The 21001-nt window shown below is 37.6% G+C and overlaps 1 protein-coding gene across 16 annotated transcripts in view; it reads right to left on the bottom strand.

Moving 5' to 3' along the window:
• Window positions 9322–21001, bottom strand: part of PLS1 (plastin 1) — a 117272-nt gene continuing 105592 nt past the window's right edge. For all 16 annotated transcript variants that reach the window (XM_011512903.3, XM_047448323.1, XM_047448324.1 and 13 more), the window contains 4 exons: window positions 18985–19118; window positions 18400–18523; window positions 11361–11485; window positions 9322–11114 (listed from right to left, as the gene is read on the bottom strand). In XM_011512903.3, coding sequence (XP_011511205.1) covers window positions 10979–11114; window positions 11361–11485; window positions 18400–18523; window positions 18985–19118 — 519 coding nt within the window. In that variant the 3' untranslated portion in view covers window positions 9322–10978. The remainder of the gene's footprint in view (window positions 11115–11360; window positions 11486–18399; window positions 18524–18984; window positions 19119–21001) is intronic.

Here is a 21001-nt window from a genome sequence, read left to right as displayed (position 1 = left end):
TTCTACTTTTAGTTCTCTAAGGAATCTCCACACTGTTTTCCATAGTGGTGTACTAGTTTACAGTCCCACCAGTAATGTAGAAGTGTTCCCTTTTCACCGCATCCACACCAACAGCTATTATTTTTTGATTTTTTTGATTATGGCCATTCTTGCGGAAGTAGGGTGGTACATACGGCATAGCAGTTTTGACTTGGAATTCCCTGATCATTAGTGATCTTGAGCATTTTTTCATATGTTTGTTGGCCATTTGTGTATCTTCTTTTGAGAATTGTCTATTCATGTTTTTTTGTTTTTTCTTGAGACAGAGTTTTGCTCTTGTTGCCCAGGCTGGAGTGCAATGGCGTGATCTTGGCTCACCGCAACTTCCGCCTCCCAGGTTCAAGTGATTCTCCTGCCTCAGCCTTCCGACCAGCTGGTATTACCGGCATGTGCCACCACACCCGGCTAATTTTGTATTTTTAGTAGAGACAGTGTTTCTCCCTGTTGGTCAGGCTGGTCTCGAACTCCAGACCTCAGGTGATCTGCCTGCCTCAGCCTCCCAAAGTGCTGGGATTACAAGCATGAGCCACTGCCCCCAGCCCTTTTCATGTTTTTAGCCCAGTTTTTGTTAGGATTTTTTTTTTCTTGATTATTTGTTTGAATTCATTGTAGATTCTGGATAGTAGTCCTTTGTCAGATGCATAGATTATGAAGATTTTCTCCCACTCTGTGGGTTGTCTGTTTACTCTGCTAACTCTTCCCTTTGCCATGCAAAAGCTCTTTCATTTAATCAAGTCCCAGCTATTTATCTTTCTTTTCATTGCATTTGCTTTTGGGTTCTTGGTCATGAAATCCTTGCCTAAGCCAATGTCTACAAGGGGTTTTCCGATGTTATCTTCTAGAATTTTTATAGTTTCAGGTCTTAGATTTAAGTTCTTGATCCATCTTGAGTTTATTTTTGTATAAGGTGAGAGATGCAGATCCAGTTTTATTCTCCTACGTGTGGCTTGCCAATTATCCCAGCACCATTTGTTGAATAGGGTGTCTTTTCCCCCACTTTATGTTTTTGTTTGCTTTGTTGAAAATCAGTCGGCTGTAAGTATTTGGGTTTATTTCTGGGTTCTCTATTCTGTTCCATTGGTCTATATGCCTATTTTTATGCCAGTACCATGCTGTTTTGGTGACAGTAGCCTTATAGTATAGTTTGAAATCAGGTAATGTGATGTCTCCAGATTTGTTCTTTTCGCTTCATCTTGCATTGGCTATGCAGGCTCTTTTTTGGTTCCATATGGATTTTAGGATTATTTTTTCTAGTTCTGTGAAGAATGATGGTGGTATTTTGATGGGAATTGCATTGAATTTGTAGATTGCTTTTGGCAGTATGGTCATTTTCACAATGTTGATTCTACCCATCCATGAGCATGGGATGTGTTTCCATTTGTTTGCCTCGTCTGTGATTTCTTTCAGCAGTGTTTTGTAGTTTTCCTTGTAGAGTTCTTTCTCCTTCTTTGTTAGGTATGTTCCTAAGTATTTTATTTTTCTAATAAAACAAAATACTTTTGCCGCTATTGTCAAAGGAATTGAGTTCTTTGTTTGATTCTCAGCTTGGTTGCTGTTGGTGTATAGGAGGGCTACTGATGTGTGTACATTAGTTTTGTATCCTGAAACTTTGCTGACTTCTTTTATCAGTTCTAGGAGCATTTTGGAGAAGTCTTTAGGGTTTTCTAGATATACAATCATATCATCAGCAAACAGCAACAGTTTGACTGCCTCTTTACTGACTTGGATGCCCTTTCTTTCTTTCTCTTCTCTGATTGCTCTGGATGGGACTTCCAGTACTATGTTGAAGAGGAGTGGTGAGAGTGGGCATCCTTGTCTTATTCCAGTTGTCAGAGGGAATGCTTTCAACTTTTCCCCATTCAGTATTGTGTTGGCTGTGGGTTTGTCATAGATGGCTTTTATTACATTGTGGTATGTCCCTTGTATGCCAGTTTTGCTGAGGGTTTTAATCATAAAGGGATGCTGGATTTTGTCAAGTGCTTTTTCTGCGTCTGTTAAGATGATCATGTGATTTGTTTTTAATTCTGTTTATGTGATGTATCACATTTATTGACTTGCATATGTTAAACCATCCCTGCATCCCTGGTATGAAACCCACTTGATCATGGTGGATTATCTTTTTGATATGTTGTTGGATTCAATTAGCTAGTATTTTGTTAAGGATTTTTACATCTATGTTCATCTGGAATATTGGTCTGTAGTTTGGTTTTTTTTTTTTTTTTTTTTTTGGGTTATGTTCTTTCCTGGTTTTGGTATTAGGGTGATACTGGCTTCATAGAATGCTTTAGGGAGGATTTCCTCTTTCTGTGTCTTGTGGAATAGTGACATTCTTCTTTAAATGTCTTTAAATGTCACAGGATCAGCTGTGAATCTGATCCTGGACTTTTTTTGTTGGTGATTTTTTTTATTACCGTTTCAATCTTGCTGCTTGTTATTGGTCTGTTCAGAGTATCTAATTCTTCCTGATTCAAGCTAGGTGGGTTGTATCTTTCCAGGAATTTATCCATCTCCTCTAGGTTTTCTAGTTTATGTGTGTAAAGGTGTTCATAGTAGCCTTGAATGATCTTTTGTATTTCTGTGGTGTCAATTGTAGTATCTCCCATTTCATTTCTAATTGAGCTTATTTGGATTTTCTCTCTTCTTTTCTTGATTAATCTTTTTAATGGTCTATCAATTTTATTTATCTTTTCAGAGAACCAGCTTTTTGTTTCTTTTTTTTTTTTTTTGTGATGGAGTCTTGCTCTGTCACCCAGGATAGAGTGCAGTGGCGCAATCTCAGCTCACTGCAAGCTCTGCCTCCCGGGTTCATGCCATTCTCCTGCCTCAGCCTCCTGAGTAGCTGGGACTACAGGTGCCCACCACCACGCCGGGCTAATTTTTTGTATTTTTTTAGTAGAGACGGGGTTTCACTGTGTTAGCCAGGATGGTCTCGATCTCCTGACCTTGTGATCTGCCCGCCTCGGCCTCCCAAAGTGCTGGGATTACAGGCGTGAGCCACTGCGCCCGGCCTATTTCATTTGTCTTTTGTATTTTTTTTTTTCCATTTCAATTCCATTTAGCTCTGCTCCGATCTTATTTCCTTTCTTCTGCTGGGTTTGGGTTTGGTTTGTTCTTGTTTCTCTAGTTTCTTGAGGTATGACCTTAGATTGTCTATTTGTGCTCTTTCAGACTTTTTGATGTAGGCATTTAGGGCTATGAGCTTTCCTCTTAGCACCACCTTTGCTGTATCCCAGAGGTTTTGATAAGTCATGTCACTATTGTTGTTCAGCTTGAAAAATTTTTAAATTTCCATCTTGATTTCATTTTTGACCCAGTTGTCATTCAGGAGCAGGTTATTTAATTTCCATGTATTTGCATAGTTTTGAAGGTTCCTTTTGGAGTTGATTTTCAGTTTTATTCCACTGTGGTCTGAGAGAGTGCTTGATATAATTTTAATTTTCTTAAATTTATTGAGATTTGTTTTGTGGCCTATCATATGATCTATCTTGGAGAAAGTTCCACGTGCTGATGAATAGAATGTATATTCTGCAGTTGTTTGGTAGAATGTTACGTAAACATCTGTTAAGCCCATTTGTTCCAGGGTATAGTTTAAATCCATTGTTTCTTTGTTGACTTTCTGTCTTGATGACCTGTCTAGTACTGTGAGTGGAGTATTGAAATCCCCCACTATTATTGTGTTGCTGTCTATCTTATTTCTTAGGTCTGGTAGTAATTGTCTTATAAACTTGGGAGCTCCAGTCTTAAGTGCATATATATTTAGGATTGTGATATTTTCCTATTGGACAAGGCCTTTTGTCATTATGTAATGTCCCTCTTTGTCTTTTTTAACTGTGGTTACTTTAAAGTTTGTTTTGTCTGATATAAAAATAGCTATTCCTCCTTGCTTTTGGTGTCCATTTGCATGAAATGTCTTTTTCCACCCCTTTACCTTAAGTTTATGCAAATCCTTATGTGTTAGGTGGGTCTCTTGAAGGCAGCAAATAGTTTGTTGGTGAATTCTTATCCATTCTGCAATTCTGCATCTTTTAAGTGGAGCATTTAGACTATTTACATTCAATGTTAGTATTGAGATATGAGGTGCTATTCCATTCATTGTGCTATTTGTTGCTTGTATACCTTGGGTTGTTTTTTTTTTAAATTGTATTTTTGTTGTATAGGTCCTGTGAGATTGATGCTTTAAAGAGGATCTGTTTTGATGTGCTTCCAGGATTTTTTTCAAGATTTAGAGCTCCTTTTAGCAGTTCTTGTAGTGCTGGCTTGGTAGTGGTGAATTCTCTCAGCATTTGTCTGAAAAAAACTGTATCTTTCCTTCATTTATGTAGCTTAGTTTCGCTGGATACAAAATTCTTGGGTGATAATTGTTTTGTTTAAGGAGACTGAAAATAGGGCCCCAGTCCCTTCTAGCTTGTAGGGTTTCTTCTGAAAAATCTGCTGTTAATCTGATAGATTTTCCTTTATAGGTTACCTGGTGCTTTTGCCTCACAGCTCTTAAGATTCTTTCCTTCATTTTAACTTTTGATAACCTGATGACAATGTGCCTAGGCGATGATCTTTTTGCGATGAGTTTCCCAGGTGTTCTTTGAGCTTCTTGTATTTGGATGTCTAGGTCTTTAGCAAGGCTGGGGAAGTTTTCCTCAATTATTCCCCCAAATATGTTTTCCAAACTTTTAGATTTCTCTTCTTCTTCCACAAGAATGCCAATTATTCTTAGGTTTGGTTGTTTAACATAATCCCAGACTTCTTGGAGTCTTTGTTCATTTTTTCTTTATTCTTTTTTCTTTGTATTTGTTGGATTGGATTAATTTGAAAACCTTGTCTTCGAGCTCTGAAGTTCTTTCTTCTGCTTGTTCGATTCTATTGCTGAGACTTTCCAGAGCATTTTGCATTTCTCTAAGTGCATCCATTGTTTCCTGAAGTTTCGATTGTTTTTTATTTATGCTATCTATTTCACGGAAGTTTTCTCCCCTCATTTTGTTTTTTGTTGTTGTTGTTGTTGTTGTTGTTTCTTTTGTTTAGTAGAGACGGGGTTTTGCCATGTTGCTCAGGCTGGCCTTGAACTCCTGGCCTCAAGTGATCGACCCACCTCGGCCTCCCAAAGGGCTAGGATTACAGGTATGAGCCACCATACCTGGCCTCCCCGTATTTCCTCTTATTTTTTTTTATTTCTTTAAATTGGGCTTCACCTGTCTCTGGTGCGTCTTTGATTAGCTTAGTAACTGACCTGAATTCTTTTTCAGGTAAATCAGGGATTTCATCTTGGTTTGGATCCATTGCTGGTGAGCTAGTGTGATTTTTTGGGGGGTGTTAAAGAGCCTTGTTTTGTCATATTACCAGAATTGTTTTTCTGGTTCCTTCTCATTTGGGTAGTCTATGTCCGATGGAAGGTCTAGGGCTCAAGGCTGCTGTTCAGCTTCATTTGTCCCATGAGGTGTTCCCTTGATGTAGTACTCTCCCCCTTTTCCTAGGGATGTGGCTTCCTGAGAGCCAAGCTGTAGTGATTGTTATCTCTCTTCTGGATCTAGCCACCCAGCAAGTCTATCAGGCTCTGGGCTGGTATTGGGGGTTGTCTGCACTGAGTCCTATGATGTGAACCATCCACAGGTCTCTCGAGGCTCTGTGTGTGTGTGTGTGTGTGTGTCTGTGTGTGTGTGTGTGTGTGTGTGTGTGTATATATATATATATTTATTTTTTTGAGACGGAGTCTTCCTCTGTCACCAGGCTGGAGTGCAAGTGGTGTGATCTTGGCTCACTGCAACCTCTGCCTCCCAGGTTCAAGTGATTCTCCTGCCTCAGCCTCCCGAGTAGCTGGGACTACAGCCGTGCACCACCACGCCCAGCTAATTTTTGTTATTTTTAGTAGAGACAGGGTTTCACTACATTGGCCAGGATGATCTCAATCTCTTGATCTCATGATCTGCTCACCTTGGCCTCCCAAAGTGCTGGGATTACAGGTGTGAGTCACTGTGCCTGGTCTTTTTTTCTTCTTTTTTTTTTTTTTGAGATGGAGTCTCACACCATCATTCTGGCTGGAGTGCAATGGCACGATCTCGGCTCACTGCAACCTCTGCCTCCCAGGTTCAAGCAATTCTTCTGCCTCAGCCTCCCGAGTAGCCGGGATTACAGGTGCCCGCCACCATGCCCAGCTAATTTTTTGTATTTTTAGTAGAGACAGGGTTTCACCGTGTTGATCAGGCTGGTCTTGAACTCCTGACCTCGCGATCTGCCCGCCTCAGCCTCCCAAAGTGCTGGGATTAGAGGCATGAGCCACCACACCCGGCCGAGTCTGTATATTTTTTAACAACCAGTTTGTGATCTGAAATTGGCATAAGATTCCTATTGTCACACATGTGTTTGCAATTAATTCAAAAGTATGGACATGTAACTATTGGATAAGTTTGTCATCACGTTTATGAATCTGATTTTAAAAGACAGATCTGTTATTTGGGCAAGAGTTGAATGAAGCTCCGTAAGTGCTCCTTCCCTCCTCTCTTTCTCCCAGAGGGTCATGCTGTTTGGCCCAGGCTGGAGTGTGCGGTGGCATAGTCATAGCTCATTGCAGCCTCAACCTTCTGGGCTCCAGCAATCCTCCCACCTCAATTTCCCAAGTAGCTGGAACCAGAAGTGCATGCCACCACACCCGGCTAACTTTTTAAAGTTTTTTTGTAGACAAGGGGTCACACTATGTTGTCCAGGCTGGCCTTTGAACTCCTAGGTTCAAGTGCCACCGCCCACCTTGGCCTCCCAAAGTGCTGGAATTACAGGCATGAGTCATCATACCCTGCCAAATAATTTATTTTTAACCAAACTTTTAAAGTATTATAACCATTATAGAGTTGCTGTTGTCTTCTGCTTTTAAAAGGTAATGGAGGAGAAACTGGAAATTCCGCCTCTTGAATAATTCCTGTTGCTTCCCATAATCATATAGAAAACTCTAAATTGTGCCTTTAAAGTTTTAGGTTTTTAAAAGAATACATAAATTTACTTCAGAGTATCTTATATTTGGAGGAAATACTCCCTATCCTGTTCAGGCTGGTATGTTCCATCCCTGTCTCAGCCAGCACGTTAACTCCCAAAATTTCCTAAATACAACTTTCTCATAATTCAAAGTCTTTGTTAGGTCTTTTCTAAGAGGCCTTAGCAGACCGTCTTTCCAAACATTTTCATGTATTTACTTCAAAACAGTTGATAATCTATTGAGTTTGTTTTCTGTCTTATCCCTAGTAGATGGTAAATCTTCCTCATTTTGTAATGTTTAATACAGTTCCAAGTTTATTTGGTGGAATGTCAAGATTGTTCCTGTAAATTTGTGGCCAGTGAACAGTGGCACATATTTGTATTTATGCGTGTGTGCTTACACTCTCTGTAGTGCAGCACAATTTTTAGTTAGTAGCAGAAAAACACTAACCCTGATGTACCCAAAACTTCGTGTTTGAGGGAAAAAATTTAGATGGCTCAGAACTATGTCGCACATGTGATATAGCAGGAGAGCAAGCGAGATAGAGCGCGATGTAGATATAGCTTCACTTTAATCCGAGGCATTTGCAAGTTGCTGGACCTAGATGATTCTTTATCCAGAGGACTCCCATAGGGGCTGGATTAATTTCTAAGACTGGGGAATCCCAACTTACTTTGGTAGATAATTCTAGGAGGCCTTTCAAAGTGCTGGGGGTGGGGGTGCTGTTCCTACTTCAAACTAAGCCAGTGTTGCAACTGCACCCTGTTCTTCACAAGTCTTTTTGGATCATCTCAGCTGCAGAAATCCTCTCTTACCTCTCTGATACACTTTTTGTTGTTTTTAAGAGACAGCATCTTGCTGTGTCACCCAGGCTGGAGTGCAATGGTGCAATCATAGCTCATCATAGTGTCGAAATCCCAGGCTCAAACAATCCTCCCACCTCAGCCTCCTGAGTAGCTAGGACTACAGGTGCACACCACCACACCCATCTAATTAAAAAAAAAAATTGAGGACTGGGCCCAGTGGCTCATGCCTGTAATCCTAGCACCTTGGGAGGCCGAGGCGGGCAGACCACTTGAGGTCAGGAGTTCAAGACCAGCCTGGCCAACATGGTGAAACCCTGTCTCTACTAAAAACACAAAAAAAAATTAGCCAGGCATGGTGACACACATCTGTAATCCCAGCTACTCAGGAGGATGAGGCACAAGAATCACTTGAACCCAGGAGGCAGAGGTTGCAGTGAGCCGAGATTGTGCCACTGCACTCCAGCCTGGACAAGAGAGAGAGACTCCGTCTCAATAAATAAATAAAATTTTGTAGCAAGAGTCTATGTTGCCCAGGTTGGTCTCAAACTCCTGGCCTCAAGCAGTCCTCCCACCTTGGCCTCCCGAAGTGCTGAGATTATAGGCATGAGCTACTGTGCCTGGCCTGGTACACTATTTATCCAGCATAAATTGGGGTATTTTAACATAATCTATGCAGCCTATCATCAGTTTTTTCTACACAGGTGATACAGAGACCAGTGGCAGAGTTATGATGAACAGTAGCATCCAAGATTCAGAAGCAGCATATTACTTCAAGCAGCTTACCCAAACCACATATACAAAAGAGCAGTCATGACTCCAGTCAGAGAAGAAAAAAAAAAATCCAGATTTAGATCTAGTCCTACAATACCCTAGACTCCATCTCCATCTCCAGACTCTGCCTCTCCCTCAGTACTCTCAGGTCATGTTCACCTGTTTGTCTTCTAGGATGCCTACAGGACTGCCTGCTTCAGGTTCTTTACATTTGTTCTCTCTGCTGAACACTTATAGCACAAATATCCTTAGAGAGACCTTCCCTGACCACCCAAATACAAATAATCTCCACTCCATTTCCCAAGTCAGTCTCTATCACATTACCTTATGTTATTTCTTCTACTGCATTATCACTGTCTAAAATTCCTATTTACGAATTGTCTCTCTACTAGGATATCATACATGGATGTGATACATGAGGTCAGGAGACTTCATCTGTATTTTTTTCAGATGAATCCCCAGTGTCTAGCATAGTATCTGGATCATAATAAATGATAAATTTGTGAATGGATTGATTCACCTGAATTATTTCAGCACAAACTAAATTGTAGTAATCACACAGTTGGTTTTTAATAATTCTTCATATTTAAGAACAAAAGAACTACCCTCATCTTCAAAGAAATCAGACACAATTTTTTTTTTGTTTTACTAACTCATTTAGGAATTCTTTTCTTTTCTGGAAAATAAGCTTATGCTAGACTAATTTTCAAGGCTGAATATTTTTCTTCAAATGAAATAAATATAAACACATTTCTATATACACAGCATTTTTATTAAATATACTCTGTGAGAAAAAGAACACCCTAAAGTGCCAGATTTCATGTAAATCCAATAACTTAGTAAATACAATGGTGAAAAAAAATCAGAGGGAAACATAATTTAAATAATCTTATAAAAGAGCAAGAACATATCTTAATCTTAAGAAAACAATCATCAAAATATAAAAGGGAAAGAAATCTCTTTTGTAGAAGAATATATTTCAAATTCCACCTGTTGATCATTTCATTTAAAAAATTCTATTCTAAACACATGGGCAGTCTCTCTTACCAATATATATATTTAAATCAATGGTAGAAAGGGAATTTAGACTACTCATTCACACTGAGATAAAGTGACATTTTTGTTGCACAACAGTATTGCTCACTGGCACTAACAGTGGAAGATGGAGAAAGTAGATTTCTGGATTCAATTGTTAGCAGCAGAAATGGACTAATGCTAAAAATTTAGAAAAAAATAGTCCAAGCTGTAGCGATTTCCAAGTAATACAAACATTAACCAAACATTGCCAATTTGTAACGGGCTGTGAAAAACATATGAAAATACTCTACATTGAATACTAGCTTTATGTTACTTTCTATTAAAGATATTCAGTGGGCATATTCTAAATTATATAGGGCTTCTATAGAGACCTAAACTAGCAAGTATAATATGAAGCTAACAGGACAGTGTCAGCATATCTTGGGATGTTCTAGCCAATGTTTGGCTACAAGTATTTGGAAGGGGTCAAATAACTATATGCACATTCAAAATGAATACTTATAAAAAGAAATCTTAATGTATCAGATATCCACAGACTGAAAAGTGTTACACATGTTGTGGGGGGAAAATACTGATGGTTGGCTGAATGACCAATTAAACATACCACTTATGAAAAGCTGGGTGATTCAGGTGCAAAAAAATATATATGCACACATATCTCTCTAATAACATCCTACCAACATATATATGTTGCATGACATAGTTAAAGCTGTGTTACCAAACTAGGATGTGTAAAGTATCAATGTAGTTAAAATTAAATTTTAAGTAAAAAGCTGCTGCTACTTAAACAAGAGAGTGAACTTTGGGGTTTATTCAAGAATTAGTTCTCATATATAAAAAAGTTTGATATTAATAAACAATTCTGGTCACCATAAGGTTTTAGACAGTATAGAAACTTACAGAAAAGTGTTTTTGGACCACTTTAAATAGTTGGAGGAAGCAAATAAAAGGATTAAACTGGATTATGAGTATGAATGCATTTATGATCAAAATTAACACACCAAAAAAATCAAACCACATTTCACAGCAGAACCTGCAAAAACGTTTGTATTCATCTTTTTTGAACCATAAAAAAGAATGATTTAGTCTTGTCTAATACGACTTTTAAGCAACAAAAATAATTTAATCATGAAGTATCAGCTTGATTATGAATATATTCTATTATCTGTATCAGTTGGTAAATTAACTGTGTTACCCAAAAAGGCTGACCAGCTCTAACTAGTATGAACAGGATATTGAATTCATTAATGAATATATAACTATTTTGAGCATACAAATAATCTCTGGTTTTACACCCACTACATTTCAGAATCCTGTAAACTGTGAGGCATACAATATGTTTAATGTGGCAGAAAATCATATGAAATGATTATTTTATTCTGTTCAGTCCTTTTCCCATTAAGCATGCAAACACCGTCATAACCATCTTTGGTTTCACTTCTACGAGGTCATCAGGTAATGCATATATCCGGGCACCGATCTTTCGAGCAACTGAAATGGCGTATCTTGAAGAGACAAGAAAAATATCTTGGTGTTATCCACTGTGTTTTCACTTAACATATTTTAACAAAAGAGTGAAATATTTTGACAAGATTAGTTTTACGAAAAGGTTAAGTTTGTGAGTCTTAAATCTAAGACTCACATATAAGTTATATTTAAAAATATGAATTTTAAGGGCATAGTAACTTTTCCTATAAGGATTTTAGAGAATTAAAGGGCCATGTATTGTAATATAAACCATAAAGGCTTACTTAGCATTGTTCAGCTTGTCCTCATCAGATAAGTTTTCTCTCCTGATCATTTCTTGACGAACTGCATTTGGTGCAATGGCATCTATTAAATCTAGGACAGGTAAACTTGTGCTTATAGATTTATCCTAGAAAATAAAGCATAGATGAACATTCATAAACATCTGACCTTTAATTTTCATTATTTTCAGACTCTTCTGATCATATAACTGAAGGCAATCTACAAATTCTTTGTACTTAACCTAACGTTCAGCTTTTCTGCAACCAGCACACATAAATAAACCCTTTAAAATATACTTTTCCTTGAATCTTTATATATAATATAGAGTTGTCACCATATCTGAATAAGGTTTGTGGACATGATAGCTCCTAAGTATGCTAACTATAGTGTCCATTCTGTAAAAAATACAAAACTTTTGAAAGGGAATAGATGAATTTTTAATTAACAATTTTATAAATTCTACTCACATATTTCTTAGACCATGAATCCAAAAGCCTTCCCTTAATATTTTTCAGAAAGAAAAATGAAATAGTGAAAGGGAACTAACACTTACAAAGACATTGTCTTGTTGTTTTACATGTTTTAGTTTATTTAATCCACCTTTTAAACCCTAGCATCTTGATAGTAAAGGAATTCTTTTTTAAAAAAAGATGAAGAATATAAAGTTAAGATAGCTCAAATGACTTGTTTACACAACCAGTAAATACAGAACCCATGACAGTCTGACTCTAAAATGCCCAAGAGTCTCTCCATTTTTAAGTTACCACCAAGGCAAGCTAAAAATGGACAACTAAATTATAGTGAATAGCGCACTGCAGATGAAATCAGACATCCTGGTCTGAACTGATTTTTACCACTTATCAGTACTTGAACAAATTATTTGTTTTCTCTCTCAGCTTGAATAGTGGCCACCACTGCTTGCCTACCCAGAATCTACACACTCTTTACTTCTTTCATACAAGTAGAACCCATATTTTTGCTCTATATCCATACCTCCTTCACACAGACATCAGCTTCAAGGAAAGCTGACATTCATAGTTCCAGGAGTGAACCTAAATTAATCTAGGTCAAGCATTCTCAATAGGGGTAGGGTGATAACCTTGTTTATGTATAAAGCATACAGTGCATAAACAGGTATACAGTGTATCTCTGCATTAAAATTTCATGGGAGAGACAAAAACGGAAAAAAAGGTCTAAAAATATTCCTTAGAGGATAATTTTCTTTTAAGATTTCAAAACACTGGTCTAAGCCAAATAGAGGAATGCTATTCTATTACCACAGTAATTTAATTTGGGCCTATGTTATGGAAAGCCAGCAACCCCTCCTCCTGGATGTGAATGAGAGAATGAAACCTCTGTCACAAGCAGCAACTATCCTATGACCAAAAGGAAAACCAGCTTTAGGGTGAAGCTGGCACATTAGATGGCAAAGCAGAGATGGGAAAAAAAAAAAAAAAAAAGAGTCCTGAATGACATTCTTCAATTATTGGTTCAACCAATCCAGAAGTCTACCCTACCTCTGGATTACTGTTATTGTAGTCAACACCTTTCCTTTTGGTTTAAACCACTTGAAATTGGGTTTCTGTTACTTGAAGCCAGAGCACCCTTTCCTAATCTCTAAAGTAGAATGTCATAGGATTCTTAGGAATACTGAGGTGGTATAGGTGAAAACATCTAGTATAGGCTCTAGCCAAATGTCAGTTCTTAATCAATATCTAATAAAACAATCTGAAGCCATGTGAAGAAGAGTAACAGCTTCTTTGAGCCACAATCTATGAGCCACTTCATTTATTAATTTTTTTTTTTTTTTTGACGCAGAGTCTCGCTCTGTTGCCCAGGCTGGCGTGCAGTGTTGCCATCTTGGCTCACTGCAAGCTCTGCCTCCCAGGTTCATGCCATTCTCCTGCCTCAGCCTCCTGAGTAGCTGGGACTACAGGCGCCGGCCACCACACCCGGCTGATATTTTTGTATTTTTAGTAGAGATGGGGTTTCGCCGTGTTAGCCAGGATGGTTGTGATCTCCTGACCTCGTGATCCACCCGCCTCGGCCTCCCACCGTGGTGGGATTACAGGCCTGAGCCACTGTGCCCGGCCTCATTTATTAATTTTAGAAAAATTTATATTCTTATGTTCATGTTATGATACAGATTTTTGGGCAGGAATGTTCATTTTATGATACAGATCTTTGGCCAGGGGTAATGTTCATTTTATGATACAGATCTCTGGGCAGGGGTAAGAGAGAGAGGGTAAAAATAATTAGGTCCTTTAAGTCTATCTGATGCTGGTAATCTGGATCTGCTTTTTGTATCTTTTCTGTTTCTGAGAAATCAGTCTGCAGACCACCTACATGAAAATCATGTGGGGTATTTGTTAAAAGTGCAAATCTAGCCCCACTCAAACTAATGTCAGGTTATCTATGAATGAGGCTGGGAATCTACATTTTTAATAAGCTTTCTAGATGACTCTAAATGTGTACTGTATTATACTTTCTAAAAACAATATTTCATTCTAGAATGCATTTTAATTTCTATGGGCTTACCTTTCATATATGTATATGATTATTTTTTAAAATACAAGTGACTTATTTAATTGTGCTATAATTTGATTCCTTATTTACATATTTGTGTTATTTTAAATATTTCATTTAGATTTAGGAAACAAGTATTTTTCCCACCCATTTTCTTATGAGTTACCTTGCGTAAAGCTTCTACTGAGTTTAATGAAGAATTTAAGTTTCTAAAGATTGTATCAGATCTCTTATCTTCTTGTTTCCAAGAAAATAGCCCTGTCTTCCAAATCCTCTGATTTGTACATTATCAGTGAAAGACATTTTACTTTTGCAAAGGGAAAGGGGTTATAGTGAAAACCCTTAGGTTAGTATATAAATACATTTCCATTATTTCTCCTTTTATTTCCTTAAGTTAATCATAAAGAAATGACTTCGGCAAAAAGAATTTCAATATCTTAATCTAGAATTACCTACAGCTTGATTTTCAAGATAATGATTTTTCCCTCTATTTGATATGTATTAGAACATTTCATTCCACTGCTGTTTCTGTCATTTTAAAAAATAAAAGTGGAAAGGCCGGGCGTGGTGGCTCATGCCTGTAATCCCAACACTTTGGGAGGCCAAGGCAGGCAGATCAGGAGGTCAGGAGATTGAGACCATCCTGGCTAACACGGTGAAACCCCATCTCTACTAAAAGTACAAAAAATTAATTGGGCGTGATGGCGGGCGCCTGTAGTCCCAGCTACTCGGGAGGCTGAGGCAGGAGAATCGCTTGACCCTGGGAGGCAGAGGTTGGAGTGAGCTGAGATCGCGCCACTGCACTCCAGGCTGGGTGACAGAGCAAGACTCAGTCTCAAAAAAATAAATAAATAAAATAAACAAATAAATCTGGAAAAACAGTGATGTGGACACCAGACTTCCCTAAGAGGCTCAGCAGAGTCCCCTGTCCTGCCACATATGATGCCCTTTATATATTAGCAATGCCAACAGCGTGGTAAGCCCCATTTATTGAGCCCTTAATATGTGCTAGGTACTGTTAAGCTCTTTACATTTTGTTAACTTATGTAGTCTAACAACAATCTTAGTAGAGAGGGATTATTAATTTCCCCATTTTAGATATGGGGAAACTGAAGAATAGAGAAATTAATAACTTGCCCATGGTCACACAGATACTAAATGCTGAGCCAGAAGTAAGCTCTGTTTTATTCATCAGTAGATGTAGCCCTGCTGTTAGTTTAAACCGCTAAGGTTTCTGTAAAACAGATGCCCTTCTCATGTGGTCCCACACTCCCCCCTTAGCTGATTTATATAGTATTGCTGACACCCCATACTGTGATTCTTGTTTTCTTATTTGCCACCTTCCCTGAATAGTGAGCTCTTTGAGGGCACTATGTAGCCACAGCGACTAGCAAGGCACCTGACACAGGGCAAGCTTTGAATATTTATGGAATAAATGAGCAGTATGCTACACAGCTAATCAGTAGCTCAGCCAAAAGTCAACCCAGGGCCATACAACTCCAAAGCTTGGCTTTCACCTTGTGTGTAGACAGACCTGGATATGAAACCCAGCTGTTCTGCTTAAAAGCTGTATGACAGTAGACAGTTACTTAACTTCTCTAATGCTCACCTTTTTGCTCAGAGTATTTAGAAAATTAAACAATGTGTAAAGTGCTTAACATAGTGACACGAAGGACTCAATAAATGGTAATTATGATTATTATTTGCTGATCTACCACCTTCTCTGTCTTCTTAGCAAGGGAAATTTATGGCTAAAAAGGGTAAATTTGTCTTTTCTGAAATTCCTATAGTGCTACCTTGTTTATAATTAAAATTTTTCTGCTAGTGCCACTTATTATAGCCTTCAAACATAATGCCTTCTGTAGTTGGAAAAATACCTCCCTCACCTCAACTATGTTTTAGCATTCACTGCCTCATTTCTTAACCATTTGCACTCTCTTTAAAGATTTTATCATTAAGCATATGCAAAATGCCAAGCACTTTCGCGATGTTTCTGCCACCTCAGTTCTAAGTAGAGCCAAACTCTCAGGTCGGCTGTTCTCTAGGGTTGCTCTCCCTTAAAAGGTTTATGCACTCCCATTTCTCAACCCTTTTATTCAACTGATCACCAAGTCTGTCTTTCCAGTTTTAGTATCTCCTTTCACCACCCCCATTTTCCTAAAATTACCTCAAATTCAAGCTTAAAACTGAACTCATCACCTTTTCCAGGAAGTAGCTGTACCTCATGACATCCTCATTTCTATTAGTGTTATCTGTTTTCCGGTTACCCATGCCCAAAACATGAAGAGTTTTGGCTCCTCCCTCCCTTCTTCTTCCCCAGATCAGGAAGCCAAATCCTAGTTCTTCTTTTGCAATAACTTATAGCTTTCTAATCTTACCATTTCCATTCCCAGCCCCAGCCCCCTTATTACATCACACCTTGAGTACTGCCTTGGATTCTTTTGCATTGTCCTTGCAGTTACACTATTCTCCCTCCCCATCCTGTTCACTACATTCAGATTGGTATTCCTAAAATAATTGCCTTTCTTATTACCCCCTTTACTCAATATCCTTTATTTAGGCCAAAATCCTCTACAATCTTGACCCAATTTATGTCTTGCGCAACATCCCTTAGGAACCGTCCTATTTCTCCTAACTTTCTGAGACATGCCTTTATTCAAGATGGACCCTTCTAAGTTTGTTATCCCCCTTTCTCTCCACTAATTCAAATCCTCCCACCATCTATGATGTTCAAATCCAGCTGTCTTTATCGGCTCTTCACTGACCATTCAATTGGAAATGATCAGACTTTTCATCCATAATATTAGTTGCATTACTTGGATTTTATTACTCTGTAGTATTGTTACCTTCTCAGTTATACAATCTTTGTCTTTAAAATAAATGGTGAACACTCTGAGGGCCAAATTAATTTCCTATACTTTATGCCTTTTTCTTTACTTATAAAAGTTACTTAATAGGAGCTCAATAAATATTAATTTGCTCCTAAATATTTTCTCATATTAACTATATACATGTTTAATATTTTCTATAATGTGCAAATGCATATAATTTCAACATAACAATTTTAAAGAATAACTGCCAATTAGAGAATTTTATAATACAATCCCCATTGCTATTTTATATTTTTGTGTTTTATGTTTAAAACACAGAGAGACAAATCATGCACTGAAAATTACTTCAAAAAAAACAAGCAGTAACAAAAACTCAATGTCATTAGTTTCTTCCAAGATAGAAAAGGGGGGGTGGAAATCAATTGAACTAGGACTCAGGCAACGTCTCTGCCAATATCCAGCTGTCCTGTTAAAACCGTTTTGGGTCTTAGTTTTTGGCAAACATGAGAAGATTGAACTGATAAATTTCTGACATTTCTTTCACTTTGCAATGTTGTTAAGCATATAGAGCGAAGGCAAAGAGAGAAATAAAAATGGGTAGATAATCTCTTAGGATAGCTTAGTGTTTCATCTCTTTGTACTTTATTTCAGTAAAAAAACCACAAATTTATTGCTAGTTTTTCACACATAATAAAATCACAAACACAAGGCTCACTGAATGAATGTGTACAAGCAGACATGCTTATTTGTAGCTAACATCGGCTTGCATGCAAAAGCAAAACACAATGGAAATGCATGAAAATTAGTGGGTATGTATGTACAGATTACATTTTGAGTGCTTTATGAATCATCCACAAATGCTTGGAAGTGAGTGTTAAGTGCCATTATGAAGCCAGATGACAAGATTTTTTTTTTCCTACCAGTTTTCTCAATTCCCACTTGAATCGGTTTGGCTGGCTCTGTTATGCCTTGGAAATGATGTCAATACAATTCTGAGACTGCTGCTAGGGAGCACAAAACATTATAGGTCCTATATAAACAATGGCTTCTTATCTTTTTCATTTGATAACTGGATTTTTTTTAGCTCTATTCTGTTTATTTTTTAAGATTAGATTACCAGAGTCAGATAATATTAACCTACATTTATACTTAACTGGACAACCAATCAAAAATTTAGTAATTAAAACTGAATATTTCAAGTTTACACAGGCCAAATAATTAGTATGCCTAAACTCATAAATCATGTTTCTGACATACAACATTAATATATTTCTAAACCAAACCAATGTAATTTCCAATAAAAATTCGTTCCTGGCCAGGCGTGGTAGCTCATGCCTGTAATCCCAACACTTTGGGAGGCTGAGGCGGGCGGATCACGAGGTCAGGAGAGCGAGACCATCCTGGCTAACATGGTGAAACCCCATGTCTACTAAAAATACAAAAAAAAAAAAAAAATTAGCCGGGTGTGGTGGCGGGCACCTGTAGTCCCAGCTACTCAGGAGGCTGAGGCAGGAGAATGGTGTGAACCTGGGAGGCAGAGCTTGCAGTGAGCCAAGATCGCGCCACTGCACACCAGCCTGGGTGACAGAGCGAGACTCCATCTCCAAAAAAAAAAAAAAAAAAAAAAAAAAAAAATTCCTTCCTATACCTACAAAAAAAAATTTTTTTTAGGACTCTTGATTACCTTGAAGCTGGAAATAGAAGTCTTTTTGTTTGCACTTTTAAGAGTCTGATTGACCCATTTAATTATAATTTCATCATTTACTTTTTCACCCTCTCCAAGATCCGATAACACATTCAATGTGTACCTGCAACAGAAAAGATGTATATTTGAGACTGAAAAGGGTGAAATTTGCTTTCACATAATTTATATCAATGTTTAGATAAATACTTAAGAAATAGTTCAGTTCTAATAAATATTTCTAATTTTAGTCTGGCATTTGCACCCAGTTACATTCCAAAGTTACAAACCTCATTAATCAGAAACAAAAACTACTACATGGTATTTTTAAAACTTAAAGCAATTCCTTATGAAGCCATTTTTAAGAGGCATTAATAAAAGTGATAGTGTTTCTGGATATTGACCCATTTTTAAATAAAATATAATTTACAAAAAAACCATAATCAACAGTAAATCCTTTAAAAATTAAAATATTTTGCATTGTATATTTCTTCTGTGTTCATTATTGTTCAAAAATAGCTAAAAATTTGGTTCAGATTACTTGTTGGAGGAAACAGGCAGTGTTGCTACCAACATATCAGCCTTTACCTTCTCATCAGCTGCCATACCAATGCCAGGGTAAGTGTTGAATTCCCTTCATTTAGGTCCTGCCCAGCAATGCCAACCAAGGAGAATTTGGCCTTGTTCTTCCCAAGTTCCACTGCATAGTTACAGTTTTCAATCTATAAATAAGTAAAAGTTTGGGTATAAAAAGATTTTTAAAAACATATCTCCAGAATAGGCCAGCCTAGTTCAGCCATCTGAAAAACAATTATGATGACACCTTAAATTTATATGACCAATTTCATAATAATAACCCAGGGAAAGCAAGGACATAATTATTTCCATTTTATAGTTGAAGATATTAAAGCACTGAGTGGGTTAACCTAGATAGAGGAACAACTGGCCGGAAAGTTTTAAGATCCCTTCCTACTCTAAAAATCTTGACTATCCAGGCCGGGCGTGGTCGCTTACGCCTGTAATCCTAGCACTTTGGGAGGCCAAGGCAGGTGGATCACCTGAGGTCAAGAGTTCGAGACCAGCCTGGCCAACATGGTGAAACCTCATCTCTACTAAAAATACAAAAGTTAGCCAGGTGTGGTGGCGGGTGCCTGTAATCCCATCTACTCAGGAGGCTGAGGCAGGAGAATCGCTTGAACCTGCGAGGTGGAGGTTGCAGTGAGCCAAGATCGCGCCATTGCCCTCTAGCCTGGGCAACAGAGCAAAAACTCCGTCTCAAAAAAAAAAAAAAAAAAAAAAATTCTTGACTATCCAAGATGAAATAGCTTATTAATGGCACATGTGTGCCTAAAAACCTAGGTGTCCTGCTTTCCTTTCATAGAAGTAATAGATGATGTTTTGTGTAGATTTAAAATTTAAAAATAGAAAAGAAAGTAATTGTTTTATTAAGAATCTAACTTCATCTCCGATATTCTTTACCCAGATCTTACTTATCCTCTGAAATTCAGCTTTTGGCCCACTTTCTTCAATAAAGGCTTAACCTTAACTGTACCAGCTAATAATGATCTATCCTTTGCTTGAACTCCTAAGAATGCTTACTTTGTAATGCTTATGCACCATCTTCTACTATACTTAGCCTTGTATGTGTTTCCTTTCAACAACTAGAGTATAAGCTTCTTCTAAAGGACAAAAATTTTTACGTGCACAAATCTATATCATACTGTCCCCACTCTCAGCACAATGCCCTGCCTAAAGTAAGAATCTGATACATAAACACCTAATAAATTGTTTACCCTCCCCAACCACAATACTTCTTTCCAGTGATATAAGTCCAGTTAGGTCCTTTCTCTAATAATTTTTTTTATCTATCCTGGAGTCAATAGGGTTTTTTACCTGCATCATCTACTGCTGTGTTTCTTACATCAGAACTTATAAATTCTTATGTATCTGAGTCTTTTTGCTCCAGTGAAATTATAAGCTCTCATAATCTTATATCACCAGTAGGAACAAAAGTGCTTACACTAAGTACTTTTTGGAATAAACACTTAAAAGGAGAACACTACTTTTCTTAATTTTCTTCCACGAGTTAGTTAAGGTACCATTACAAAACAGTCTAACCTAAGGTACACAGATACATTTTCCCCAATAGTAAGAAAATATTTGCAGGAAATGTGAGACAGCTAATACAATAAAAGAATTTGTACAAATATATGGTTATTGTTCTTAAAAAAGAGAATCCAAATTCCCAAAGTTCAATTTACTACAAATAAAAATGGAAGATCTTTGGAACCTGCTGTAACATCTGCCTGGCTAACTTCACAAATTGAATAAAATGTTTGATATATATTCATTTTTTTAAAATCCAAGGAGAAGCTGGGTGTGGTGGCACATGCCTGTAGTCCCAGCTACTTAGGCTGAGGCAGGAGGATCACTTAAGGGCAGGAGTTCAAGGCTGTATTGTGCTATAATCACGCCTGTGAATAGCATGCACTCCAGCCTGGGCACCATAGTGAAACCCTACTTCTAAAAAGTTTTTAAAAGAATTTTTTAATGCAGAGATAATATTCCAAAACATTTTTTGGAATCATATTATAGGCTTAGCCCG

This window comes from Homo sapiens, chromosome 3 (genome assembly GCF_000001405.40).
Source record: "Homo sapiens chromosome 3, GRCh38.p14 Primary Assembly".
In the NCBI taxonomy this organism is placed as follows: Eukaryota; Metazoa; Chordata; class Mammalia; order Primates; family Hominidae; genus Homo; species Homo sapiens.
The sequence above is the reverse complement of the archived record's forward strand: the minus strand, read 5'-3'. Positions and strand labels throughout refer to the sequence as shown.